This window comes from Homo sapiens, chromosome 12 (genome assembly GCF_000001405.40).
Source record: "Homo sapiens chromosome 12, GRCh38.p14 Primary Assembly".
Lineage (NCBI taxonomy): Eukaryota > Metazoa > Chordata > Mammalia > Primates > Hominidae > Homo > Homo sapiens.
The window spans coordinates 49,148,771-49,173,877 of record NC_000012.12 but is presented as its reverse complement, the minus strand read 5'-3'; the positions used below and the strand labels follow the sequence as shown (position 1 = coordinate 49,173,877).

Genomic DNA, 25,107 nt, shown 5'->3' with positions numbered 1-25,107 from the left:
CACCATTTCCAATCCAGCATCAGAAGTAATGAATCAAAAGGTCCAGTATAAAGTTGGGCTCAGTGGCTCACACTTGTAATCCCAGCATTTTGGAAGGCTGAGGTAGGAGTATCACTTGGGCCAGGAGTTTGAGACAAGCCTGGGCAACATGGCGAGACCCTGTCTCTACAAAAAATAAATCAGCTGAGTGTGGTGGCCAATGTCTGTAGTCCCAGCTACTCAGGAGGCTGAGGCAGGAAGATCACTTGAGCCTAGGTGGTCAAGGCTGCAGTGAGCCATGATCACATCATTGCACTTCATCTTGGGTGATAGAGAGGAGACCCTATCTTTAAAAAAAATTAAATGAGGCCAGGCAGGGTGGCTTACGCCTGTAATCCTAGCACTTTGGGAGGCCAAGGCGGGCAGATCACAAGGTCAGGAGATAGATACCATCCTGGCTAACATGGTGAAACCCTGTCTCTACTAAAAATACAAAATATCAGCTGGGCGTTGTGGCACATGCCTGTAGTCCCAGCTACTCAGGAGACTGAGGCAGGAGAATCGCTTGAACCTGGGAGGCGGAGGTTGCAGTAAGCCAAGATCGCACCACTGCACTCCAGCCTGGACAACAGAACAAAAATCCGTCTCAAAAAAAAAATTAAATGAATAAAATAAAAATTAAAAGAAAGTCCAATGTAATAAGACGAAGAGGAGCTAACCCTAGAGAAAGGAGCTTAAAGAGATCAGGCCAGGTATCCAAGAAATAACACAAGGGGAAAACATCAGGGACCTAGGCAGAGGCCTGGTAGGCAGACTGACTGGCTCCCATGTTAGGGATTATATAAGGAAACAACAGCTCAATGCACCTTTGGGTGTTGGGTGTCCAGGATATTGAAGGCCAGATATTTAAGGTCTTTTTGCCTGTTGGTCAGAAACCTCCCACAATTCCTTGCCGCAAGGGCCTCTCCAAAGAGTAGCAGACAGCAAATGGCTTCCCTCAGGACAAGTGAGCAAGACAGCAAGAGAGAGCTGCCAAGATGAAAGTCACAGTCTTTTTGTAATGTAATATCGGAAGTGACATCTCATCACTTTTGCTGTAGCTAATAAGAAGTGAATCACGCATGGCCGGGTACGGTGGCTTACGCCTATAATCTCAGCACTTTGGGAGGCCGAGGCAGGTGGATCACCTGAGGTCAGGAGTTAGAGACCAGTCTGGCCAACATAGTGAAACCCTGTCTCTACTAAAATTACAAAAATTAGCCAGGCGTGGTAGCACAGGCCTGTAATCCCAGCTACTCAGGAGTCTGAGGCAGGAGAATCACTGGAACCCGGGAGGCGGAGGTTGCAATAAGCCAAGACTGCGCCATTGCACTCCAGCCTGGGCAACAAGAGTGAAACTCTGTCTCAAAAAATAATAATAACAATAATAATAATAATGAGAATTTAACCAATAAGTACATATGATTACATAGATTCTGTAATTCTTAGAAAAATCACAGATCCTGGATCTAGTTTTCTCTTCTCAGGCTTGCAAATTATAAATAAATAAAAGAAGTGCCTCTAAAAGATTCATAACCAAACATAATGCCAAGTCTTGTTTTTCTACAATATATAGTATCTCTATTTACATAAAATTATATATGTGTATATGCCTAGAGAGATGTCTAATAGGATCTTTATCAAATATTAAGAGTATTGGCCAGGCTTGGTGGCTCGCGCCTGAATCCTAGCACTTTAGGATGCCAAAGCAGGTGTATCACTTGAGGCCAGGAGTTTGAGACCAGCCTGGGCAACATAGCGAAACCCTGACTCTATAAAAAATACAAAAATTAGCCAGGCGTGGTGGCATGTGCCTGTAGCCCCAGCTACTAAGGAGGCTGAGGTGGGAGGATCTGTTGAGCCAGGAGGTGGAGGCTGCAGTGAGCTGTGATAGTGCTACTGCACTCCAGCTTAGGCAACAGAGAAAGATAAAAAACAAAAAAATTGGAGCTGATTGCTTAAGAAGTTATTTTTCCCTGAAGTACTGGCATTTAAACAGGGAATTTTTAGAAACTAAAGATTCAACTTTTAAAGAAATCTCCAGGAAGAGAATTTCAAGCACCATCTGAGCAAAGATGCTATTTTGGGTAGCTATTTTAAGTATCCTGAGCCGTTAAAATCAGTGCACAGTGATAGGCTAATAGTCACTCTTCCTACCTGAAGGCTAACTCAGTCCCTCACACTTTATCACTTGATTTTTCTTTTCCTAATATAACAGGTTTGTTGAAATATAATTCACATACTGTCCAATTCACCCATTTAAAGTATACAATTCAAGGCCAGGCGAGGTGGCTCATGCCTGTAATCCTAGCACTTTGGGAGGCCGAGGTGGGTGGATCACCTGAGGTCAGGAGTTTGAGACCAGCCTGGCCAACATAGTGAAACCCCAACTCTACTAATAATACAAAAATTAGCAGGGCATGGTGGCGCATGCCTATAATCCCAGCTACTCGGGAGGCTGAGTTGGAAGAATCGCTTGAATCCGGGAGGTGGAAGTTGCAGTGAGCTGAGATCACACCACTGCACTCCAGCCTGGGTGACAGATACTCCATCTCAAAAAAATAAAAATAAAAATAAAAAAGTAAAAAAAAAATGTTTTAAAAAAGTATACAATTCAATGGCTTTTAGTATATTAAGAGGTGTGTGATCACCACAATTTTAGAACATTTTCATCACCCCCCAAAAAAACTCTGTAACCTAGGCAACCACTATCTCCAGGCAACCACTAATCTAGTTTCTGTCTCTGCATATTTCCCTATTCTGGACATTTAATGTAGAAGGAAGCATACAATATGCAGGCATTCATAACTGGCTTCTTTCTTTCTTCTTTTCCTAATCCATTCAAGTACATCTATTTTGGAAATATTTCCATTTCAATGATCCAAATTGTGATGAGGAACACCACCAGGGCATGAAATTTTAGAATATAGCAATCTCTTTGTATTATTAATTGATATACACGCCATAAAATATACACACCATAAAATTCACCCTTTATAATTTTAAAGTCTCTAGTATATTCACCAGCTTGTGCAATATCTGTCCTTTTAAATTTTTATATTTGTCTGTTCACTAGTTCCAGAATTTAATTTTGTCATTCATCAAAAGCTCAAACTGTGCACTCATTAGCAGTCACTCCCCATTATCTCCTTCCTTGTACTAGCTCATGGCAAACACAGTAATCTACTTTCTGTCCCTATGAATTTGCCTATTCCGGACATTTTATACAAATAGAATCATGTAATATAGGGCTTCGTTATCTTAACACAAAGTTTTCTTTTTTTTTTTTTTTTGAGATGGAGTCTTGCTCTGTCACCAAGGCTGGAGTGCAATTGCATGATCTCAGCTCACTGCAACCTCTGCCTCTGAGGTTCAAGCAATTCTCCAACCTCAGCCTCCCAAGGAGCTGGGATTACAGGGACGTGCCACCATGCCCAGCTAATTTTTGTATTTCTCGTAGAGATGGAGTTTCACCATATTGGCCAGGCTGGTCTAGAACTCCTGACCTCAGGTGATCTGCCTGCCTCGGCTTCCCATAGTGCTAGGATTACAGGGGCCACTGTGCCAGGCCGAGCACAATGTTTTCAAGGTTCATCTATATTGTAGAATGTATCAGTACTTCCTTTCTTTTCTGGGGGAGCGGGGTGTGGAACGGAGTCTTGCTCTGTCACCCAGGCTGGAGTGTAGTGGCGGAATCTTGGCTCACTGCAACCTCCGCCTCCTGGGTTCAAGCAATTCTTCTGCCTCAGCCACCTGAGTAGCTGGGACTACAGGCATGCGCCACCATGCCAGGCTAACTTTTGTATTTTTAGTAGAGACTGCCTTTCACCATATTGGCCAGGCTGGTCTCAAACTCCTGACCTCGTGATCCACCTGCCTCCGCCTCCCAAAGTGCTAGGATTACAGGTGTGAGCCACTGTGCCTGGCCAGTACTTCTTCTTATTGCCAAATAATATTCCATTATAGGGATATACATTTTCTTTATTAATTGATGGGTTGTTTACATTTTTTGGCTATTATGAATAATACTGCTGTTAACTTTTGTGTACACGTTTTTGTGCAGTCATATATTTTCATTTCTCTTGAGTATACACCTAGAAGTGGAATTGCTGGGTCTTACTATAGATCTGTTTAATATTTCATGGAACTGCCAAGATATTTTCCCAAGTGGTTATATCATTTACATTCCTACTAGTAGTGTAAGAAGGTCCAATTTTTCCACATCCTTACTAAGACTTGTTATTTTCTGTCTTCTTTTATTATAGCCATCCTAGTGGGTGTGAAGTGGTATCTCACTGGGGTTTTGATTTGCATTTTCTGATGGCTAAAGACTTGAGTACCTTCTCATGTGCTTATTGGCCATTTGGGTATCTTCTTTGGAGAAGTCTACATTTAGAGCCTTTGCCCATTTAAAATTTTTATTTTATTTTTTAAATAGAGATGGGGTCTTGGCCAGGCGTGGTGGCTCATGTCTGTAATCCCAGCATTTTGAGACCCCGAGGCGGGCAGATCACCTGAGGTCAGGAGTTCGAGACCAGCCTGGCCAATATGGTGAAACTCCAGTCTCTACTAAAATACAAAAATTAGCTGGGTGTAGCAGCGTGCACTAGTAATCCCAGCTACTCGGGAGGCTGAGGCACAAGAATTTCTTGAGCCCAGGACAGGGAAGTTGCAGGTTGCAGTGAGCTGAGATTGCACCACTGCACTCCAGCCTGGGTGACAGAGTGAGACTCTGTCTCAAAAAAAAAAAAGAGATGGAGTTTCACTATGTTGCCCAGGATGGCCTCAAACTCCTGGGCTCAAGTGATCCTCCTGCCTCAGCCTCCCAAGTGCTAGGATTACAGACGTGAACCACTGCACCCAGCCTAAAATTTTATTATTCGTCTTTTTATTACTGAGTTGTAAGAGTTCTTTATATGTTCTAGATACAAGTATCTTATATATGTATAGAGAAAAATTCTCTTCAAACTGTTTTTCCTCTACTCTCAAACCACAACAATCATCAAACAGAAGACAACTTCTGTGACCAAATGTGTGGAGGATTTCTCCACACACCAAGTAGCAGATACCAGCTGGGTGTCCTCTAATTCAGTTCCTATATTATCACTCAGAGATAGTGTCAGATCCCACAGGTTGAGGGTTCAGTCCCCAAGACTGCCCCAGCCCCCGACTCTAACCCCACACACACCAGTCACAAGTTCAGCCCCCGGGACTTCTGACCGACTGGTTTCAAGTTGACGCTCCCATGACCCCTTCTTTGGGTTCGATTAGTTTGCTGGAGCAGCTCACAACACTCAGGGAGACACATTCACCAGTTTATTATAAAAGATATTGCAAAGGATACCGATAAAAAGAATAGGTAGGGTGAGGTATGGGGGAAGGGGTGTGGAGCTTCCATCCCCTCCCTGGGCGCACCACCCTCCAGTAACCTCCATGTGTTCAGCTGTCTGGAAGCTCACTGAGCCCTGTCATCTTGGGTTTTTACAGAAGCTTAAAGACATCAGCATTCCTTCTCCCAGGTTATAGGGTGGGACACTCTCATGGGAGGGTATTAAGACCTACAATCAGAAAGGTCGGGAAAGATTAGGCTGGACCTGGTGGCTCACGCCTGTAATCCCAACACTTTGGGAGACTGAGGTGGGCAGATCACCTGAGGCCAGGAGTTCGAGACCAGCCTGGCCAACACAGTGAAACCCCCATCTCTAATTAAAAAAACACATACAAAATTAGCCAGGCGTGGTGGCGCGTGCCTGTAATCCCAGCTACTCGGGAGGCTAAGGCAGGAGAATTGCTTGAATCCAGGAGCCAGAGGTTGCAGTGAGCCGAGATCACAACACTGCACTCCAGCCTGGATGACAGAGTGAGAACCTATCTTAAAATAAAAAAGAAAGAAAGAAAAAAAGGTCGGGGAAGATTAGCATGAACAGAGGGCAGGAGAACATCAGATGCCTGCCCTGAGGCTCAACACACCCAACATTCTAACAAAAGACTGTAAAGAGGGATATGGAAGTTATGAGCCAAGAACCATAGATGAAAACCAATATATAACACTACAGATATATGATTTGCAAATATTTTCTTCATTTTGTGGGTTGTCTTTTTACTTTCTTGATAGTGTGTCTTTTGAAGCAAAGAAGTTTTTAATTGTGATGAGGTCAAATGTATCTATTTTTTCTTTTGTTACTTATGCTTTTGGTGTCATACCTAAGAAGCCTTTGCCTAACTTAGCGTCATTAAGATTTACTTCTAGGCTGGGCGTGGTGGCTCACGCCTGTAATCCCAGCACTTTGGGAGGCCAAGGCGGGCAGATCACCTGAGGTCAGGAGCTCGAGACCAGTCTGGACAATATGGTGAAACCTCATCTCTATTAAAAATACAAAAATAGGCTGGGTGCAGTGGCTCACACCTGTATTCCCAGCACTTTGGGAGGCCGAGGTGGGCAGATCACAAGGTCAGGAGTTCAAGACAAGCCTGGTCAACATAGTGAAACCCTGTCTCTACTAAAAATACAAAAATTAGCTGGGCATGGTGGTGCGCACCTGTAGTCCCAGCTACTCGGGAGGCTGAGGCAGAAGAATCACTTGAACCCGGGAGGTATAGGTTGCAGTGAGCCGAGACTGTGCCACTGCACTCCAGCTTGGGCAACAGAGTGAGACTTCATCTCAAAAAAAAAAAAATAAAACTAAAAATATATACAAAAATAAGCCAGGCGTGGTGGCATGCGCCTGTAATCCCAGTTACTCAGGAGGCTGAGGCAGGAGAATCGCTTGAACCCGGGAGGCAGAGGTTGCAGTGAGCTGGAGATCACGCCATTGTACTCCAACCTGGGCATCAAGAGTGAAACTCCGGTCTCAAAAAAAAAAAAAAAGGATCACTTTTAAAAAGAGACAGCAAGAATAGAACAAGGAAAGCAGTAAGAAGTAGATTATTTTAGTGTCTGAGAGAAAGATGGCAGACATTCAGGTTATGTTTTGTTAAGTAGAGCTGACAAGATTTGCTGATGCGTTAGATGATAAATATTAGAGCAGGAGAGTGAGAGAGAGAAGTCAAGGATAACTCAGAGGTCTTTGGGCTAAGCAACTGGGTGAATAAAGGTAACATTTACTCAGATGGAGAATCCTGGGAGAAGAAAGGAGTGGTCTGTATGTGAGTGTGTGGACTGGAGTGGAGTAGAATTCAAGAGTTCTGTTTTGGACATGATAAATTTAGGATGCCTATTAGGCATCCAATCAGAGATGTAGAGTAGGCATGTGGATATGTGTTTCAGAAAATAGGCCTGGGTAGAAGATACAAATTTGGGAGCTACCAGTATATAGATATTTAAAGTCATGAGACTAGATGATTGTACATCTTTTCTTTTTTTTTTTTTTGAGATTGAGTTTTGCTCTGTCGCCCAGGCTGGAGTGCAGTGGCGCCATCTCGGCTCACTGCAAGCTCTGCCTTCCGGGTTCATGCCATTCTCCTGCCTCAGCCTCCCGAGTAGTTGGGACTACAGGCGTCCGCCAACACGCCTGGCTATTTTTTTTGTATTTTTAATAGAGACGGGGTTTCGCTGTGTTAGCCAGGATGGTCTCGATCTCCTGACCTCGTGATCCACCCACCTCGGCCTCCCATAGTGCTGGGATTACAGGTGTGAGCCACTGCGCCCAGCTGAGTGTACATATTTTCTTATGAAATTGGATTATGTGACCATATCTCTTTTTTTTTTTTTTTTTTTAGATGGAGTCTCACTCTGTGGCCCAAGCTGGAGTACAGTGGCTCAACCTCGGCTCACTGCAGCCTCTGCCTCCCGGGTTAAAGCAATTCTCCTGCCTCAGCCTCCTGAGTAGCTGGCACCTGTAGGTGCCTGCCACCATGCCTGGCTAATTTTTGTACTTTTAGTAGAAACAGGTTTTCACCATGTTGGCCAAGCTGGTCTCAAACTCCTGACCACAAGTGATTCACTTGCCTTGGCCTCCCAAAGTGCTGGGATTACAGGCATGAGCCACCATGTCCGGGCTATGTGACCATTTCTCTGTATCAGTGTTCTTTACATTTTTGCTTATCACCTAAAAAAAAGAAATTAAACTATGTAACTCCAGTCATTTTTAAGTTGATATCTAAAATTCTTCAAGTTAAGTTTAAATACGGTAAAAGCTGAGGCAGGAGGATCACTTGAGGCCAGGAGTTGAAGACCAGCTGAGACTACATCTCTACAAAATGTAAGAAAACAAGTAGCTTTGCCTGTCTTCCCAGCTACTCAGGAGGCTGAGGTGGGAGGACCTCTTGAGCCCAGGATATATATGTGTGTATATATATATATACACACACATATATGTATATGTGTGGAGATATATACATACGTAGTGTAAAATAATGTAATTTTAAGCATATTGTGGCCAGGCATGGTGGCTCCCACCTGTAATCCCAGCACTTTGTGAGGTCAAGGTGGTAGGATTACTTGAGCCCAGGAGTTTGAGACCAGCCTGGGCAACACAGCAAGACCCCGTATCTACAAAAAAATTTAAAATTAGCTGGGCATGGTGGCATGCATCTGTAGTCCCAGTTACTCAGGAGACTGAGGTAGGAGGATTGCTTAAGCCCAGAAGGTCAAGACTGAAGTGAGCCATGATTGAATTACTGCACTTAAGCCTGGGCAACAGAGCAAGACCCTATCTCCCCCGTCCCCCAAAAGAAGCATGTTGTAAATATTGATGTTTTACAGTAAAACTTACACCATTCTGTTACATCTAATGTAATCTAAACACACAGTAACTTGATGCTTACCATCATCTGTTTTTAAAAAATGACAGAATTCTGGGTTTTGAATAATATGGTGGGCCAGATATCTTGATATGCCTTCCAATAAAAATTAAAATTGCTAGATAAAATAATTTTCTTAAAAGCATTAAAAAGGTGACAAGATAGTAAGGAACCTTTAAACCAGAAGGGAGTGGAACACTAATGCCATTTTCTCTACAACCTTATAGGTGCTGGAGTATTTTATTTGTTTGTTTGTTTATTTATTTTGAGACAGGGTCTCACTCTTTCACCCAGGCTGGAGTGCAGTGGCACGATCACAGCTTACTACAGACTTGACCTCCTGTGTTAAAGTGACCCTTCTGCCTCAACCTCCCAAGTAGCTGAGCACCATCATGACTGGCTAATTTAAAAATTTTTTTTTGTAAAGACAGGTTCTCGTTTTGATGCCCAGGCTGGTCTCGAACTCTTGGGTTTAAGCGATCCTCCTGCCTCGGCCTCCTAAGGTGCTGGGATGACAGATGTGAGCCACCACGCCCAGCCTAGGTGCTAGGTAAAGTCCAGGGCCCACCCCAAGTTATAAATATAATAAGAGGCCTGCCTCATCAAAAAGTTGAGGCTCCAACTAAACCTCACAGACTGGGCAAGGTGGCTCACATCTATAATCCCAGCACTTAGGGAGGCAGAGGGAGGATGATCAGTTGAGTGCAGGAGTTAGAGACCAGCCTGGGCAACATAGGGAGACTCTAACTCTACAAAAACTAATTCGCTTGGTGTGGTGGCACACACTTGTAGTCCCAGGTACTGAGGAGGCTCAGGTGAGAGGATCACTTGAACCCAGGAATTTGAGGCTGTAGTGAGCTTTGTTTGCCCCATTGCAATCCAGCCTGGGCCACAGATTGAGACAGTGTCTCTAAAAAACAAACAAATAAAAAAGTAGAATACGGAAAGGCTGGCTGGGCGTGGTGGCTCACGCCTGTAATCCCAGCACTTTGGGAGGCTGTGGCAGGGGGATCATAAGGTCAGGAGATCGAGACCATCTTGGCTAACAAGGTGAAACTCCATCTGTACTGAAAATACAAAAACAAAATTAGCAAGGCGTGGTGGCGGGCACCTGTAGTCCCAGCTACTTGGGAGGCTGAGGCAGGAGAATGGCGTGAACCCGGGAGGCGGAGCTTGCAGTGAACTGAGATCACGCCACTGCGCTCCAGCCTGGGCAACAGAGCGAAACTCCAACTCAAAAAAAAAAAAAAAAAAAGGAATATGGAAAGGCTAGACATTAAAGAATTAAGTTTATATTGAATATTGACAATGAATAGGAAAAAATATACATAAAAAAGAACTAATACTCATTTAAGAGGTAAGAAAAAGAACAGTAAAATAAATAAAAAGTTAGGCTGGGCCTTGTGGCATGGTGGTGGCCACCTGTAATCCCAGCTACTCAGGAGGCTGAGGCAGGAGAATTACTTGAACCCGGGAGGCAGAGGTTGCAGTGAGCCGCGATCACATCATTGCACTCCAGCCTGGGCGAAAAAGCGAGACTGCGTTTCAAGAAAAAAAAAAAAAAATTAGCTGGGCACGGTGGCACACCTGTAATCTCAGCTACTGGGGAGGCTGAGGCAGGAGAACTGCTTGAACGCAGGAGGTGAAGGTTGCAGTGAGCCAAGATCGCAACACTGCACTCCAGCCTGGGCAACAAGAGCTAAACGCCGTCTCAAAAAAAAAAGTCTGACTTACCATTTTTTTTCTTTTGTTGCTTGTGCTTTTGGTGTCATATCTAAGAAAGCATTACCTAATCAAAAGTAATAAAGATTTATCTCTGTTTTCTTCTTCTGAGTTTTATAGTTTTAGCTCTTATATTTAGGTCTTTGATCCATTTTAATTTTTGTGTATGGTGTGAGGTAGGAGTCTGTATTAATTTCTCAGAGCTGCTTTTAAACCACAAACTGAGTGGCTTAAAACAAAAGAAATGTATTGCCTCATAGTTCTGTAGGCTAGAAGTTTGAAATCAAGGCGTTGGCAAGTTTGGTTCCTACCAGAGGCTCTGAGGGAGAATCTGTCCCATGCCTCTCTTCTAGCTTCTGCTGGTGCTGACAATCCTTGGCATTCCTTACTTACCTTGTAGACACCACTACAATTTCTGCCTGTGTTGCTACCGGGCATTCTCACTATGTTTCTGTGTCTTCACATGGCCTTCTTATAAGGACAGTCATTAGATTTAGGGCCCACTCTAATCCAGTAATTCCCCATCTTAACTAACTACATTTGCAAAGATTCTATTTCTAAAGAGGGCCACATTCTGAGGTTGTAAGTGGACACTGAATGTTGGATAGGGTGACACTATTCACACAGCAGAGTCCAACTACATTCCTTTGCATGTGAATATCCAGTTGTCCCAGCACCATTTGTAGAAAAGACTATCCTTTGGAGCACCTTGTTACAGCCTAGCAAGGGTGGAAGTCTAGGCTCCCCACTCAGTCTTGGTGATACAGGTAGGGGTAGGGTCACAGTTCTTTCTGTAGCACTTGGCTGGAGTACAGGAGTTGTTATATAAAGTTTGCTGTCTTGCTAGATTTTCCCTTTCCTGGTTCTTTGGCTAGTGAGAGAAGGTTTTCGTTTTTTGTCTCACCCTTCGGCATTTTTGGATTGTCAGCTTCTTCAGTTCCAAGGCTTCGAGATGTAAGGTAGGAAGAAAACCCAGGAAACTCATCACTATGTTGTTCCTTGGACCCCCAAGATCCCTAGCTTGTCTGCTGCCTTCTCTCCATCTTTCAGTCTTTTTTTTTTTTTCTTTTTGAGACAGAGTCTCACTCTTTTGCCCAGGCTGGAGTGTAGTGGTGCGATCTTGGCTCACTGCAACCTCCACCTCCTGGGTTCAAGCAATTCTGCCTCAGCCTCCTGAGTAGCTGGAATTACAGGCACACGCCACCATGTATGGCTAATTTTGTATTTTTAGTAGAGATGGGGTTTCACCATATTGGCCAGGCTAGTCTTTAACTACTGACCTCAAGAGATCCACCTGCCTCAGCCTTTCAAAGTGCTGGGATTACAGGCATGAACCATCACGCCCGGCTTTTCTTTCAGTCTTCTTATGTTTGTTTTATATATAATGTCCAGGGTTTTTAGTTGTATTTAGTGGGAGGAATTTAGGAAGTATGTCTACTCCACCTTCCCAGTGCACTTAATTTATAGGGCAATTTAAGTAGAATTAGCATCTTTGTAATCTGATACCTCCAAATAATACGTGATATATCTCTCAGTACATTAATCATAATATCTTCATAATATCTCTCAATAAAGATACTATTTTCTTGCAGATGTCTTGTTCTTTTGTTGTTATTGTTGTTGGTGTTAGTGTGAAAGAAAATAGAATCTTGGGACCCCAAACTCACTATGCCAAAGGGACATTAAGCTTGAGAGCTGAATTACTGCATTCCTTTTGTTACCAGATAGCTGTAATTTCACAATCCTGTACCATAGCCTCATTTCCTCTACTTCCCCTTTTCACATGTAAAATGTCAATTTACTGAGGCTAATCAGAGCCTCACAAGAATGTAACAATTCGCCTCACTACCTACCCTACCTCCCGTTTTCCCCCTCCTGCTTGCTCTTTCTCCTTTAAATAATGAAGTTCCCTGCCAGGTATGGTGGCTCACACCTGTAATCCCAGCACTTTGGGAAGCCAAGGTGGACGGATCACCTGAGGTCAGGAGTTCAAGACCAGCCTTGCCAACGTGGTGAAACCCTGTCTAAAGGGGGTTTTGGGAATTCTTAAATTCTAATCGTTTATATGTAAATTTTGCGGACAATTTTTGCATACATGTCATGATGTTACCAGTGGAGGGTGTCCAGGTCCCTGGTGTCTTAAACAAAGATTTGGACAAAATGTACAAAGTAAGGAAAGAATGAAGCAACAAAAGCAGAGATTTGTTGAAAATGAAAGTACACTCCACAGGGTGGGAGCAGGCCAAACATAGGGGCTCAAGGGCTCAGTTACAGAATTTTCCTGGGTTTAGGGTGTGGTGGCTCATGCCTGTAATCCCAGCACTTTGGGAGGCCAAGGTGGGCAGATCACCTGAGGTTGGGAATTCAAGGCCAGCCTCACCAACACAGAGAAACCCTGTCTCTACTAAAAAATACAAAAATTAGCCAGGCATGGCCCGTGGTGGGTGCCTGTAACCCCGGCTACTCAGGAGGCTGAGGCAGGAGAATCTCTTGAACCCAGGAGGCGGAGGGTGCAGTGAACTGAGATCGCACCATTGCACTCCAGCCTGGGTGTCAGAGTGAGACTCTGTCTCAAAAAAAAAAAAAAAAAAAGAAAGAAAGGAAGAAAAAAGAATTTTCTGGGGTTTACATCCCCTCTAGAGGTTCCCACTGGTTACTTGGTGTACGCCCTATGTAAATGAGGAGGATATTTTTTGTCATAGCTGAAGTGTTTTCATTTTCATTTGATTTAGTTCTAGGAAGTCCTTAGGTTCCCTGCCTCTAGTCCCTATTCTCCTGCCTCAGTGAGTGGTGCAAGGTTAGAGATAAGCAGGTCCTTGCATGTTTGTGTCTTTCCACAGTGTCAGGCTTTTACTGATGCTATTGCAATCACAAAAGCCAGGAGCTACACGGAGTTCCCAAGGGGGCAATCTCCTTAGTACTGTTACAGTAGGTAGTTAGACAGGCAAGAGCAGGGCAGGAGAGGGCTCCCTGCACCCACCAGGAATGTCAGGTGACCAATGGTCAGGCAGTTGTCACACTACCTATCTAAAATAATTGGTCACAGCCAGTACCAGGGAGAGGCAGTTTCCCAACAGATAAACACCTGAAATTGGTAATCAGCAGCTTCCGTAAGATCTAAGGAACTGGGCGAGTGGGCTCGAGCATGCACATTAAGAGGCAAAATGGAGGCATATGACCTTCCAGGGCATTCCACCAGAAAAGGGAAGAAAACCTCAGGTGAATATGTTTACAACTCCAGTAAACACACTGCGCATGCTCACCTGCCAGGCGTTAGTAGGCCACTGTGCATGTGGGCAGCTCACCCTAAGGCAAGAATGAAGGGAAAGGGGCACAAAATACTAGAAGTAGACCAGCATATGAAATCCAAGGTCTGGACCGGGCCCAGTGGCTCATGCCTATAATCCCAGCACTTTGGGAGGCCAAGGAGGGTGGATCATTTGAGGTCAGGAGTTCAAGACCAGCCCGGCCAATATGGTGAAGCCCTGTCTCTATTAAAAATACAAAAATTAGGGCTGGGCACGGTGGCTCACGCCTGTAATCCTAACACTTTGGGAGGCTGAGGTGGGCGGATCACGAGGTCAGGAGATGGAGACCATCCTGGTTAACATGGTGAAACCCGGTCTCTACTAAAAATACAAAAAATTAGCCAGGCGTGGTGGCAGGTGCCTGTAGTCCCAGCTACTCAGGAGGCTGAGGCAGGAGAATGGTGTGAACCCGGGAGACGGAGCTTGCAGTGAGCCAAGATCGCGCCACTGCACTCCAGCCTGGGCAACAGAGCGAGACTCCATCTCAAAAAAAAAAAAATACAAAAATGAGCCAGAGCACAGTGGCTCACACCTGTAATCCCAGCACTTTGCAAGGCCGAGGCAGGCGGATCATGAGGTCAGGAGATCAAGACCATCCTGGCTAACACGGTGAAACCTCATCTCTACTAAAAATACAAAAAAAAATTAGCCAAGGGTGGTGGCGGGTGCCTGTACTCCCAGCTACTTGGGAGGCTGAGGCAGGAGAATGGCATGAACCCCAGAGGCAGAGCTTGCAGTGAGCCAAGATCGTGCCATTGCACTCCAGCCTGGGCAACAGAGCGAGACTCTGTCTCAAAAATAAATAAATAAATAAAATAAAAATACAAAAATTAGCTGGGTGGTAGTAGTGTGCGCCCTGTAATCCCAGCTACTCGCGACGCTGAGGCAGGAGAATCGCTGGAGCCTGGGAGGCAGAGGTTGCAGTGAGCTGAGATCACTCCACTGCAGTCCAGTCTGAGCGACAGAGTGAGACCCTGTCTCATTAAATAAATAAATAAATAATCCTAGGTCCAAGGTGAAATGGGGCACTTCTCCTTCAAGTTGCCCACTTGGGTCTCTTCCAAGTGTTCTTTCCTTCCTTTTGTTCCTGGTGTAAAGCTTTTTAATAAACTTTTACTCCTGCTTTAAAACTTGCCTCGGTTTCTCCTTCTGCCTTATGCCCCTCAGTGGAATTCTTTCTTCTGAGGAGGCAAGAATTGAGGTTGCTTCAGGCCTGTATGGATTTACTGCTGATGATCTGTATACCTTCCACAGCTAACAGTACTTCCTGTTCACTCAGTAGTCAGAGCTGTGGGCACGCAAGCCAGTCAATATTGTAAACCATACATAATAGTATAATTAATCAATATATAAATGTTACAAGTTAAACATTCCATGACAAAGTAACATTTAACATCAAGAGGAGAAAGAGATAGGAGAAAGGGTTAAAGAACCAGTCCAGGCAGAACAAAGAAGAAAAGGAGTTCTGTTTTGGGCCAGTTGGTCTGCCAGTCTTGCGAGGAAGAGTCTTTGATGTGGCAGAGCCTTCGGAGGCAGATGGCAAGTTCTTATCACGAGTGACTGACTGCAAGACGGTGTCAGTTAAGATGACCATTTTGAGCTGCTGAAGGCCTCATCTTTTTTTTTTGAGACGGAGTTTTGCTCTTGTTGCCCAGGTTGGAGTGCAATGGCGCAATCTCGGCTCACTGCAACCTCTGCCTCCCGGGTTCAAGCGATTCTTCTGCCTCAGCCTCCCAAGTTGCTGGGATTACTGGCGCCCGCCACCACGCCTGGCTAATTTTTTGGATTTTGAGTAGAGACAGGGTTTCACCATGTTGGCCAGGCTGGTCTTGAACTCCTAACCTCAGGTGGTCCGCCCGCCTTGGCCTCCCAAAGTGCTGGGATTACAGGCGTGAGCCACCGCACCCAGCTGGCCTCATTTTTTTTTTTTTTTTTTGAGACGGAGTCTCGCTCTGTTGCCAGGCTGGAGTGCAGTGGTGCAATCTCAGCTCACTGCAACCTCTGCCTCCCTGGTTCAAGCGATTCTCCTGCCTCAGCTTCCCGAGTAGCTGGGATTACAGGCACTTGCCACCACGCCCGCCTAATTTTTTGTATTTTTAGTAGAGACAGGGTTTCACCATGTTGGCCAGGCTGGTCTCAAACTACTGACCTCAGGTGATCCGCCCGCCTTGGCCTCCCAAAGTGCTGGGATTACAGGCGTGAGCCACCGCGCCCGGCTGGCCTCATCTTTTATAGTCACAGAATCCTCTAGTGAGAACTGATAGTGGAAGAGCATGCTTGTGTCCTTAACTGGTTGGATGCATCTTTTAAAAAACTTTGTTTATTAAGCAAAGCATCTTATACTTGTTGACAAAGTTCCCTATGAAATATAAAATGGAGACTGGGCGCGGTGGCTCATGCCTATAATCCCAGCATTTTGGGAGGCTGAGGCAGGTGGATCACCTGAGGTCAGGAGTTTGAGACCAGCCAGGCCAACATGGTGAAACCCCATCTCTACTAAAAATACAAAAAAAAAAAAAAAAAATTAGCCAGCCGTCGTGGCGGGCACCTATAATCCCAGCTACTCAGGAGGCTGAGGCAGGAGAATTGCTTGAACCCGGGAGGCGGAGGTTGCAGAGAGCCGAGATCGCGCCATTGCACTCCAGCCTGGGTGACAAGAGTGAAACTCTGTCTCAAAAAAAAAAAAAAAAAAAAAAAAATGGCCAGGTGCAGTGGCTCACGCCTGTAATCCCAGGCCTTTGGGAGGCCGAGGTAGGCAGATCACGAGGTCAGCAGTTTGAGACCAGCCTGACCAACATGGTGAAACCCCATCTCTACTAAAAATACAAAAATTAGCCAGGCATGGTGGTGCGCTGTAATCCCAGCTACTCAACAGGCTAAGACAGGAGAATTGCTTGAACCCAGGAGGTGGAGATTGCAGTGAGCCAAGATCACACTATTGCACTCCAGCCTGGGTGACAAGAGTGAAACTCCATCTCAAAAAAATAAATAAAAATAAATGGCCAGGTACAGTGGCTCATGCCTGTAATCCCAGGACCTTGGGAGGTCCAGGCGGGCAGATCACAAGGTCAGGAGTTTGAAACCGCCTGATCAACATGGTGAAACCCCATCTCTACTAAAAATACAAAAATTAGCCAGGCATGGTGGCATGCTGTAATCCCAGCTACTCAAGAGGCTAAGGCAGGAGAACTGCTTGAACCTGAGAGGTGGAGGTTGCAGTGAGCTGAGATCACGCCATTGCACTTCAGCCTGGGCGACAGAGCGAGACTCTGTCTCAAAAAATATAAATAAATAAAAATAAAAATAAATAAATAAATATAAAATGGAGTCTTTTTCTAAGATGAAGTTAATTATGTCAAGGTTGTACTATACCATACATAACTATTCTGTAAGGTTTTTTTCTGACACCAAACACCAATTCTCCAATTCTCTAACAGGAATTGGGTGTCAAACAATTAAATTCAATTCTCTTGGCTCAGTTCCCTAAAATTGCTCCCATTTTAAGTGCCAGGTTTGCCACCGAACAGTTGTAAATTCGAGAATACCCGCCAATCTCCCTCAGGTTTAATAATTCGTTAGAATAATTCACAGAATATAGGAAAACACTTTACTTACATTTAGCAATGCATCGTAAAGGATACAACTCAGGAACAGCTAAGTGGAAGAGATGCACCGAGAAAAGTATGCCCTGGGTGGGGGTAGAAGGTGGAGGAAGATATAGAGTTTCCATGCCTTCTCCTGGTTGGCACCCTCCTAACACCAATTTTTTCACCAACTATGAAGCTTTCCATACCCTATTATTTAGGGGGTTTCATGGAGTTTTCTTTTCTCTTTTTTTTTGAGCGAAGTCTCACTCTTGTCCCCCAGTCTGGGGGACAAGATCTCAGCTCACTGCAACCTCTGCTTCCCGGGTTCAAGCGATTCTCCTGCCTCAGCCTCCCAACTAGCTGGGATTACAGGCGCCTGCCACCACACCCGGCTAATTTTTGTATTTTTAGTAGAGATGGGGTTTCACCACGTTGGCCAGGCTGGTCTCGAACTCCTGACCTCAGGTGATCCGTTGTCTTGGCCTCCCAAAGTGCTGGGACTACAGGCGTGAGCCACCGTGCCTGGCCGGAGTTTTCACCACATAAGCATAATTAAGGCTTGACCTTTTGGTGATCAAACTCAATCTCCAGTCACCACTCCCTTCCCTGAGGTCTTGGGGGATGGGGCTGAAAGTTCTAACCCTCTAATCCTGGCTTGTTCTTTTCATTCTGAAGCTACTTAGGCCCTCTCCCTCCATATCAAGCCCCTCAGAAGCCATCTCAGGGTTGGGCATGATGGCTCACACCTGTAATCCCAGCACTTTGGGAGGCTGAGGCGGGCAGATAACTTGAGGCCAGGAGTTCGAGACCAGCCTGGCCAACATGCGGAAACGCCATCTCTACTAAAAATACAAAAATTAGCTGGGCATGGTGGCACGCATCTATAGTCCCAACTACTCAGGAGGCTGAGGTATGATAATCGCTTGAACTGGGAAGCAGAGGTTGCAATAAGCCAAGATCACTCCATTGCACTCCAGCCTGGGCAATGAGTTTCTTTAGGGATGATAAAAAATGTTCTGGAATTAGAGTGTGATGATGGTAGCACAACTCTATAAATGTGTTAAAAATCACGAACTTGGCTGGGCACGGTGGCTCACGCTTGTAAACCCAGCACTTTGGGAGGCCGAGGTGGGAGGATTACGTGAGGTCAAGAGTTTGAGACCAGCCTGGCCAACATGGTGAAACCCCATCTCTACTAAAAATACAAAAATTAGCTGGGCATGGTGGCACATGCCTGTAATCCCAGCTACTTGGAGGCTGAGGCAGGAGATTCTCTTGAATCCGGGAGGTGGAGGTTGCTGTGAGCCAAGACTGCGCCATTGCACTCCAGCCTGGGCAACAAGAGCGAGTTTCTGTCTCAAATAAACAAACAAAGAAAAAACAAAAAAACCACTGAACTTTGGCACTGTCCTGGGTTACAGAAAAAAATTAAAAAAAAAAAAAAAAAAACCACTGAACTGTACACTTTAAAGGTGTAAATTTTCTTTTTCTTTCCCGAGGTGAAGTCTTGCTCTGTCACTCAGGCTGGAGTACAGTGGTGCAATCGCGGCTCACTGCAACCTCTGTCTCCTGGGTTCAAGCAATTCTCCTGCCTCAACCTCCTGAGTAGCTGGGATTACAGGTATGTGCCACCAAACCCAGCTAATTTTTGTATTTTTAGTAGAGATGGGGTTTCACCATGTTGGCCAGGCTGGTTTCAAACTCCTGACCTTGTGATCTGCCCACCTCGGCTTCCCAAAGTGCTGGGATTACAGGTGTGAGCCATCGCGTCCAGCCTAAAAGGGTAAATTTTACGGAATCTGAATTAAATCTCCATAAAGGTGTTTAAAAATAAAAACCAGTGAGCAAAGGGCAAAAATGAATACTCCTATATCTTATATGAGTCTTAATTCACCATTTTACTTTAGATTGACTTTTTAAACATTAATTCTAATTATAAAAGTAATGCAAATAGATTTTAAAAAACTCTTGGCCAGGCACAATGCCTTATGCCTGTAATTCCAGCACCGTGGGAGACCAAGGCAGTAGCCTGAGGCCAGGAATTTGTGACCAGCCTGGACAACACAGCAAGACCCCTAGCTCTACAAAAATAACAATAATAATAGTAATTAGGGCATGGTGATGCACATTTGTAGCCCCAGCTGCTCAGGAGGATCGCTTGAGTGCAGGAGATCGAGGCTACAGTGAGCTATGGTCACACCACTGCACTCTAGCCTGGGGGACAGAGGGAGACCCTGTATTAAAAGAGAAGAAAGAGAGAGAGAGAGTGGGGTGGGTGGTGGGGAGAGAAAGGAAAGAAACAAAAAGAAAGAAAGGATGGCAGGAAGGGAGGGATAGAGGGGGAAGAAAAGTATTAAATATAAAAAAGTAGAGAGGGCCAGGTGCAGTGGCTCATGCCTATAATCCCAGCACTTTGGGAGGCTGAGGCAGCTGGATCACCTGAGATCAGGAGTTTGAGACCAGCCTGGCCAACGTGGCGAAACCCCATCTCTACTAAAAAATACAAAAATTAGCCAGGCATGGTGGTGCATGCCTGTAGTCCTGGCAACATGGAAGGCTGAGGCAGGAAAATCGCTTGAACCCGGGAGGTGGAGGTTGCAGTGAGCCAAGATCTCACCATTGCACTACAGCCTGGGTGACAGAGCGAGACTCTGGCTCAAAAAACAAACAAAAAACCCTTCTCCTTAATCATCTTTAGTTATTATTGACACTTTGTCTTCATTACTTTTTTTTTTTTTTTGAGACAAGGTCTCGCTCTGACACCCAGGTTGGGGTACAGTGACCCGATCTTGGCTCACTGCAGACTTGACCTCATGGGCTCAAGTGATCCTCCTGCCTCAGCTTCCCAAAGTGCTGGGATTACAGGCATGAGCCACTGTGTCCAGCTGTTTTCATTACTTTCAAAGTGCCTTTTCACCAGTTCTCATTTTATCCAAGGACAACTGAGCCTTCCTTTCTTCTTTGTATAGAAGACCTGAGTATCTGTGCAACATGGTAGTTACTATATACATGTGGCTAATTTTTTTTTTTTTTTTTTGAGATGGAGTCTCACTCTGTTGCCAGGCTGGAGTGCAGCGACATGATCTCGGCTCACTGCAACCTCCACCTCCTGGGTTCAAGTGGTTCCCCCACCTCAGCCTCCCAAGTAGCTGGGACTACAGGCATGTACCACCATACCCGGCTAATTTTGTATATATTTGTATTATTTAATTGTAAATTAATTACAATCTAATAAAGTAAAATATTCAAATTCTTATTCACACTAGACACATCTTTTTTTTTGGGATGGAGTCTTGCCCTGTTGCCCACTACACTCCAGCCTGGATGACAAAGCAAGACAAACAACAAAACAAACAAACAACAAAAAAAACTTCATTGCTGAAAAATGCTAATGATCATCTGAGCCTTCAACTAGTTATAATCTTTTTGCTGGTGGAGGATATTGCCTTGATGTTAATGGCTGCTGACTGATCAGGGTAGTGATTGCTGAAGGTTAAGGTGGCTGGAGCAATTTCTTTTTTCTTTTTCTTTTTTTTTTGCAATAGAGTCTCGCTCTTGTCGCCCAGGCTGGAGTGTAATGGTGTGATCTCCGCTCACTGCAATCTCCGCCTCCCAGGTTCAAGCGATTCTCCTGCCTCAGCCTCCCAAGTAGCTGAAAGTGCTGGGATTACAGGTGTAAGCCACTGTACCCGGCCACAACTTCTTTTCTTTTCTTTCTTTCTTTTTTTTTTTTTTGAGATGGAATTTCACTCTTGTTGCCCAGGCTAGAGTGCAATGGTGCAATCTCAGCTCACTGCAGCCTCTGCCTCCCAGGTTCAAGCGATTCTTCTGCCTCAGCCTCCCAAGTAGCTGGGATTACAGGCATGTGCTACCACACCTGGCTAATTTTTTGTATTTAGTAGACACAGGGTTTCACCATGTTGGCCAGGCTGGTCTCGAACTCCTGACCTCAGATGATCCACCCGCCTTGGCCTCCCAAAGTGCTAGGATTACAGGCGTGAGCCACTGCACCTGGCCTGCAGTTTCTTAAAGACAACAGTGATGTCTGCTGCAGTGATTGACTTCCTTTCATGAAAGATTTCTCTGTAGCATGTGATGCTGTTTGATAGCATTTTACCCACAGTAGAACTTCTTTCAAAATTGGAGTCAATCCTCTCAAACCCTGTTGTTGCTTTATCAACTAAGTTTATGAAATATTTAAAATCCTTTGTTGTCATTTCAATAATGTTCAAGCATCTTCACCGAGTACATTCCATCTCAAGAAACCACCATGTGAGTGTGGTGGCTCACGCCTGTAATCCCAGCACTTTGGGAGGCCGAGGCGGGTGGATCACCTAAGGTCAGGAGTTTGAGACCAGGCTGGCCAACATAGCGAAACCCCATCTCTGCTAAAAATACAAAAAATTAGCCAGTGCCTGTAATCCCAGCTACTTGGGAGGCTGAGGCAGAAGAATTGCTTGAACCCGGGAGACGGAGGTTGCAATGAGCCGAGATCGCACCATTGCACTCCAGCCTGGAAGGCAGAGCAAGACTCTGTCTCAAAAAAAAAAAAAAAAAAAAAAAAAGTAAAAATGACTCTTAGATCCACGGGCTACAGAATGGATGCTGTTAGCAGTCACGAAAGTAACATTAATCTCCCTCCCCGTACATGTCATCAGAACTCCTGGGTGACCAGGTGCATTGTCAATGAGCAGTAACATTTTGAAAGAATCTTTATTTCTGAAAAGTACATCTCAACAACAGGCTGAAAATACTCAGTAAACAATGTTGTAAATAGGTATGCTGTCATCCAGGTGTCGTTATTCCATTTATAGAGCATGGGCAGAGTAGACTTACCATGATACTTTAGGGCCCTGGGATTTTTGGAATGGTAAACGAGCATTGGCTTCAACTTAAAATCACCTGCTGCATTAGCCCCTGACAGATTCAGGCTGTTCTTTGAAGGTAGGCACTGACTTGTCCCTTCCAGCTATGAAAGTCACAGATGACATCTTCTTTCAATGTGAGGTTGTTTTGTCTACATCGAAAATCTTTTTTTATTGCTCATTTTTTGTTGATTTGCTTTCTTTTGGAGACAGGGTCTTGTTCTGTTGCCCAGGCTGGAATGCAGTAGCATGATCATAGCTCACTGCAGCCTCAAAACCCTGGGCTCAGGAAGCCACTCACCTCAGCCTGCCAGGTAGCTAGGACTACAGGAGCATGCCATCACACCTGGCTAATTTTTTTATTTTTGTAGAGATTAAAAAATTGCCTTGCTATGTTGCTCAGGCTGGCCTCAAGCAATGCTCTCACCTCAGCCTCCCAAAGTGCTGGGATTAGACATGAGGCACAGTGCCTGGCCAAAAATGTGTTGTTTAGTATAGCCATCTTCATCAATGATCTTAGCTAGATCTTCTGGATCACTTGCTGCAGCTTCTACATCAGCACTTATTGCTTCGCTTTGCACTTTTATGTTATGGAGACAGCTTCTTTCCTTAAACTTCACGAGCCAACCTCTGCTAGCTTCAAACTTTTCTTCTGTAGTTTCCTCACCTCTCTCAGCCTTCTCAGAATTGAAGATAACTGAGGTCCTGCTCTGGATTAGGCTTTGGCTTAAGAGAATGTTGTGGCTGGTTTGATCTTCTATCCAGACTACTAAAACTTTCTCCCTATCAGCATCAATAAGGCTGTTTCACTTTTTTTTTTTTTTTTTTTTTGAGACAGAGTCTCTCTCTGTTACCCAGGCTGGAGTGCAGTGGCACAATCTCAGCTCACTGCAATGTTCACCTCTGGGGTTCAAGTGATTCTCTTGCCTTAGCTTCCCGAGTGTCTGGGATTACAAGTGTGCACCACCACACTCAGCTAATTTTTGTATTTTTAGTAGAGACAGGGTTTCACTATGTTGGCTAGGCTGGTCTTGAGCTCCTGACCTCAGGTGATCCACCCACCTCAGCCTCCCAAAGTGCTGGGATTACAGGCGTGACCCACCACGCCCGGACTGTTTCACTTTCTTATCATTCATGTGTTCACTGGAGTAGCACTTTTAATTTCCTTTGAGAACTTTTCCTTTGCATTCACAATTTGGCTGTTTAGCACAAGAGGATTAGCTGTTAGCCTCTCTCAGAGACCACTGTAGGGTTATTAATTGGTCTGATTTCAATGTTGTTGTGTCTAATTTAACAGGGAGGCATAAGAAGAGGGAGACAGGAAATGGCTGGTCAGTAGAACAATCACAACACACACATTTATATATTAAGGTCACTGTCACGTGATCTTATGTTTGTGGCACTCCAAAACCATTACAATAGTAACATCAAAGATTACTAATCACAGATCACCATAACAAATACAATAATAATAAAAAAGCTTTTTTTTTTTTTTTTTTTTGAGATGTCGCTTTGTCTCCCAGGCTGGAGTGCAATGGCACGATCTCGGCTCACCACAACCTCCGCCTTCTGGGTTCAAGCGATTCTCCTGCCTCAGACTCCCAAGTAGCTGGGATTACAGGCGTGTGTCACCACACCCAGCTAATTTTGTATTTTTGGTAGAGATGGGGTTTCGCCATGTTGGCTAGGCTGGTCTTGAGCTCCTGACTTCAGGAGATCCGCCTGCCTTGGCCTCCCAAAGTGCTAGGATTACAGGTGTGAGCCACTACACCCAGCCTGTAATGAAAAATTTTTATATATTATGAAAATTACCAAAATGTGACACAGAGACATGAAGTGAGCAAATGCTGTTGGAAAAATGGTGCTAACAGACTTGCTTGATGCAGGGTTGCCATAAACCTTCAATACGTTTTAAAAAAAAAAAAGAAAGAGAAAACTCTCATCATCTGTGAAGTTCAGTAAAGTGGGCCAGACACAGTGGCTCACACCTGTAATCCCAGCTACTTGGGAGGCTGAGGCAGGATAATCCTTGAACCAGGGAGGCGGAGGTTGCGGTGAGCCAAGATTGCGTCATTGCACTCCAGCCTGGGCAACAAGAGCGAAACTCTGTCTCAAAAAAAATAAAAAGGGCCGGGCACGGTGGCTTAAGCCTGTAATCCCAGCACTTTGGGAGGCCGAGGCAGGCCGATCACTTGAGGTCAGAAGTTCGAGACCAGCCTGGCCAACGTGGTGAAACACTGTCTCTACCAAAAATACAAAAATTAGCCGGGCGTGGTGGCAAGTGCCTGTAGTCCCAGCTACTTGGGAGGCTGAGGCAGGAGAAGAGATTGAACCCAGGAGGCAGAGGTTGCAGTGAGCCGAGATCACACGACTGTACTCCAGCCTGGGCAACAAGAGCGAAACTGTCTCAAAAGAAAAACAAAACAAAACAAAACAAGTTCAGTAAAGTGAAGTGCAATAAAGTAAGGTATGTCTGTGTATCTTTTTACCTCTTCAATGTTTGAACCATGGGAACTTTACCTATTCAAAAAATATGTGTAAAGTTTTGCTTTCAAGTCTACTGCTTTTATTAATTACATGTTTTTTGTTTGTTTGTTTCTTTTTTTGAGACAGAGTCTTACTCTGTTGCCCAGGCTGGAATGCAGTGGCACGATCTTGGCTCACTGCAACCTCCACCTCCCAGGTTCAAGCAATTCTCCTGCCTCAGCCTCCCAAGTAGCTGGGACTAAAGGCACATGCCACTACGCCTGGCTAATTTTTTGTATTTCAGTAGAGATGGGGTTTCACCGTGTTGCCCAGGCTGGTCTCAAACTCCTGAGCTCAGGCAATCCACCGCCTCAGTCTCCCAAAGTGCTAGGATTACAG

At 44.9% G+C, this 25,107-nt stretch overlaps 2 annotated features.

The window, feature by feature from the left end:
- Nucleotides 249-454: a silencer, noted in NCBI's record as "fragment chr12:49567207-49567412 (GRCh37/hg19 assembly coordinates)". NCBI's record gives its function as "represses an EF-1alpha promoter that drives an FKBP-Casp9 reporter gene in an ReSE screen in K562 erythroleukemia cells {active_cell/tissue: K562}" and the evidence as "EXISTENCE:reporter gene assay evidence [ECO:0000049][PMID:32094911]".
- Nucleotides 3,425-3,618: a silencer, noted in NCBI's record as "fragment chr12:49564043-49564236 (GRCh37/hg19 assembly coordinates)". NCBI's record gives its function as "represses an EF-1alpha promoter that drives an FKBP-Casp9 reporter gene in an ReSE screen in K562 erythroleukemia cells {active_cell/tissue: K562}" and the evidence as "EXISTENCE:reporter gene assay evidence [ECO:0000049][PMID:32094911]".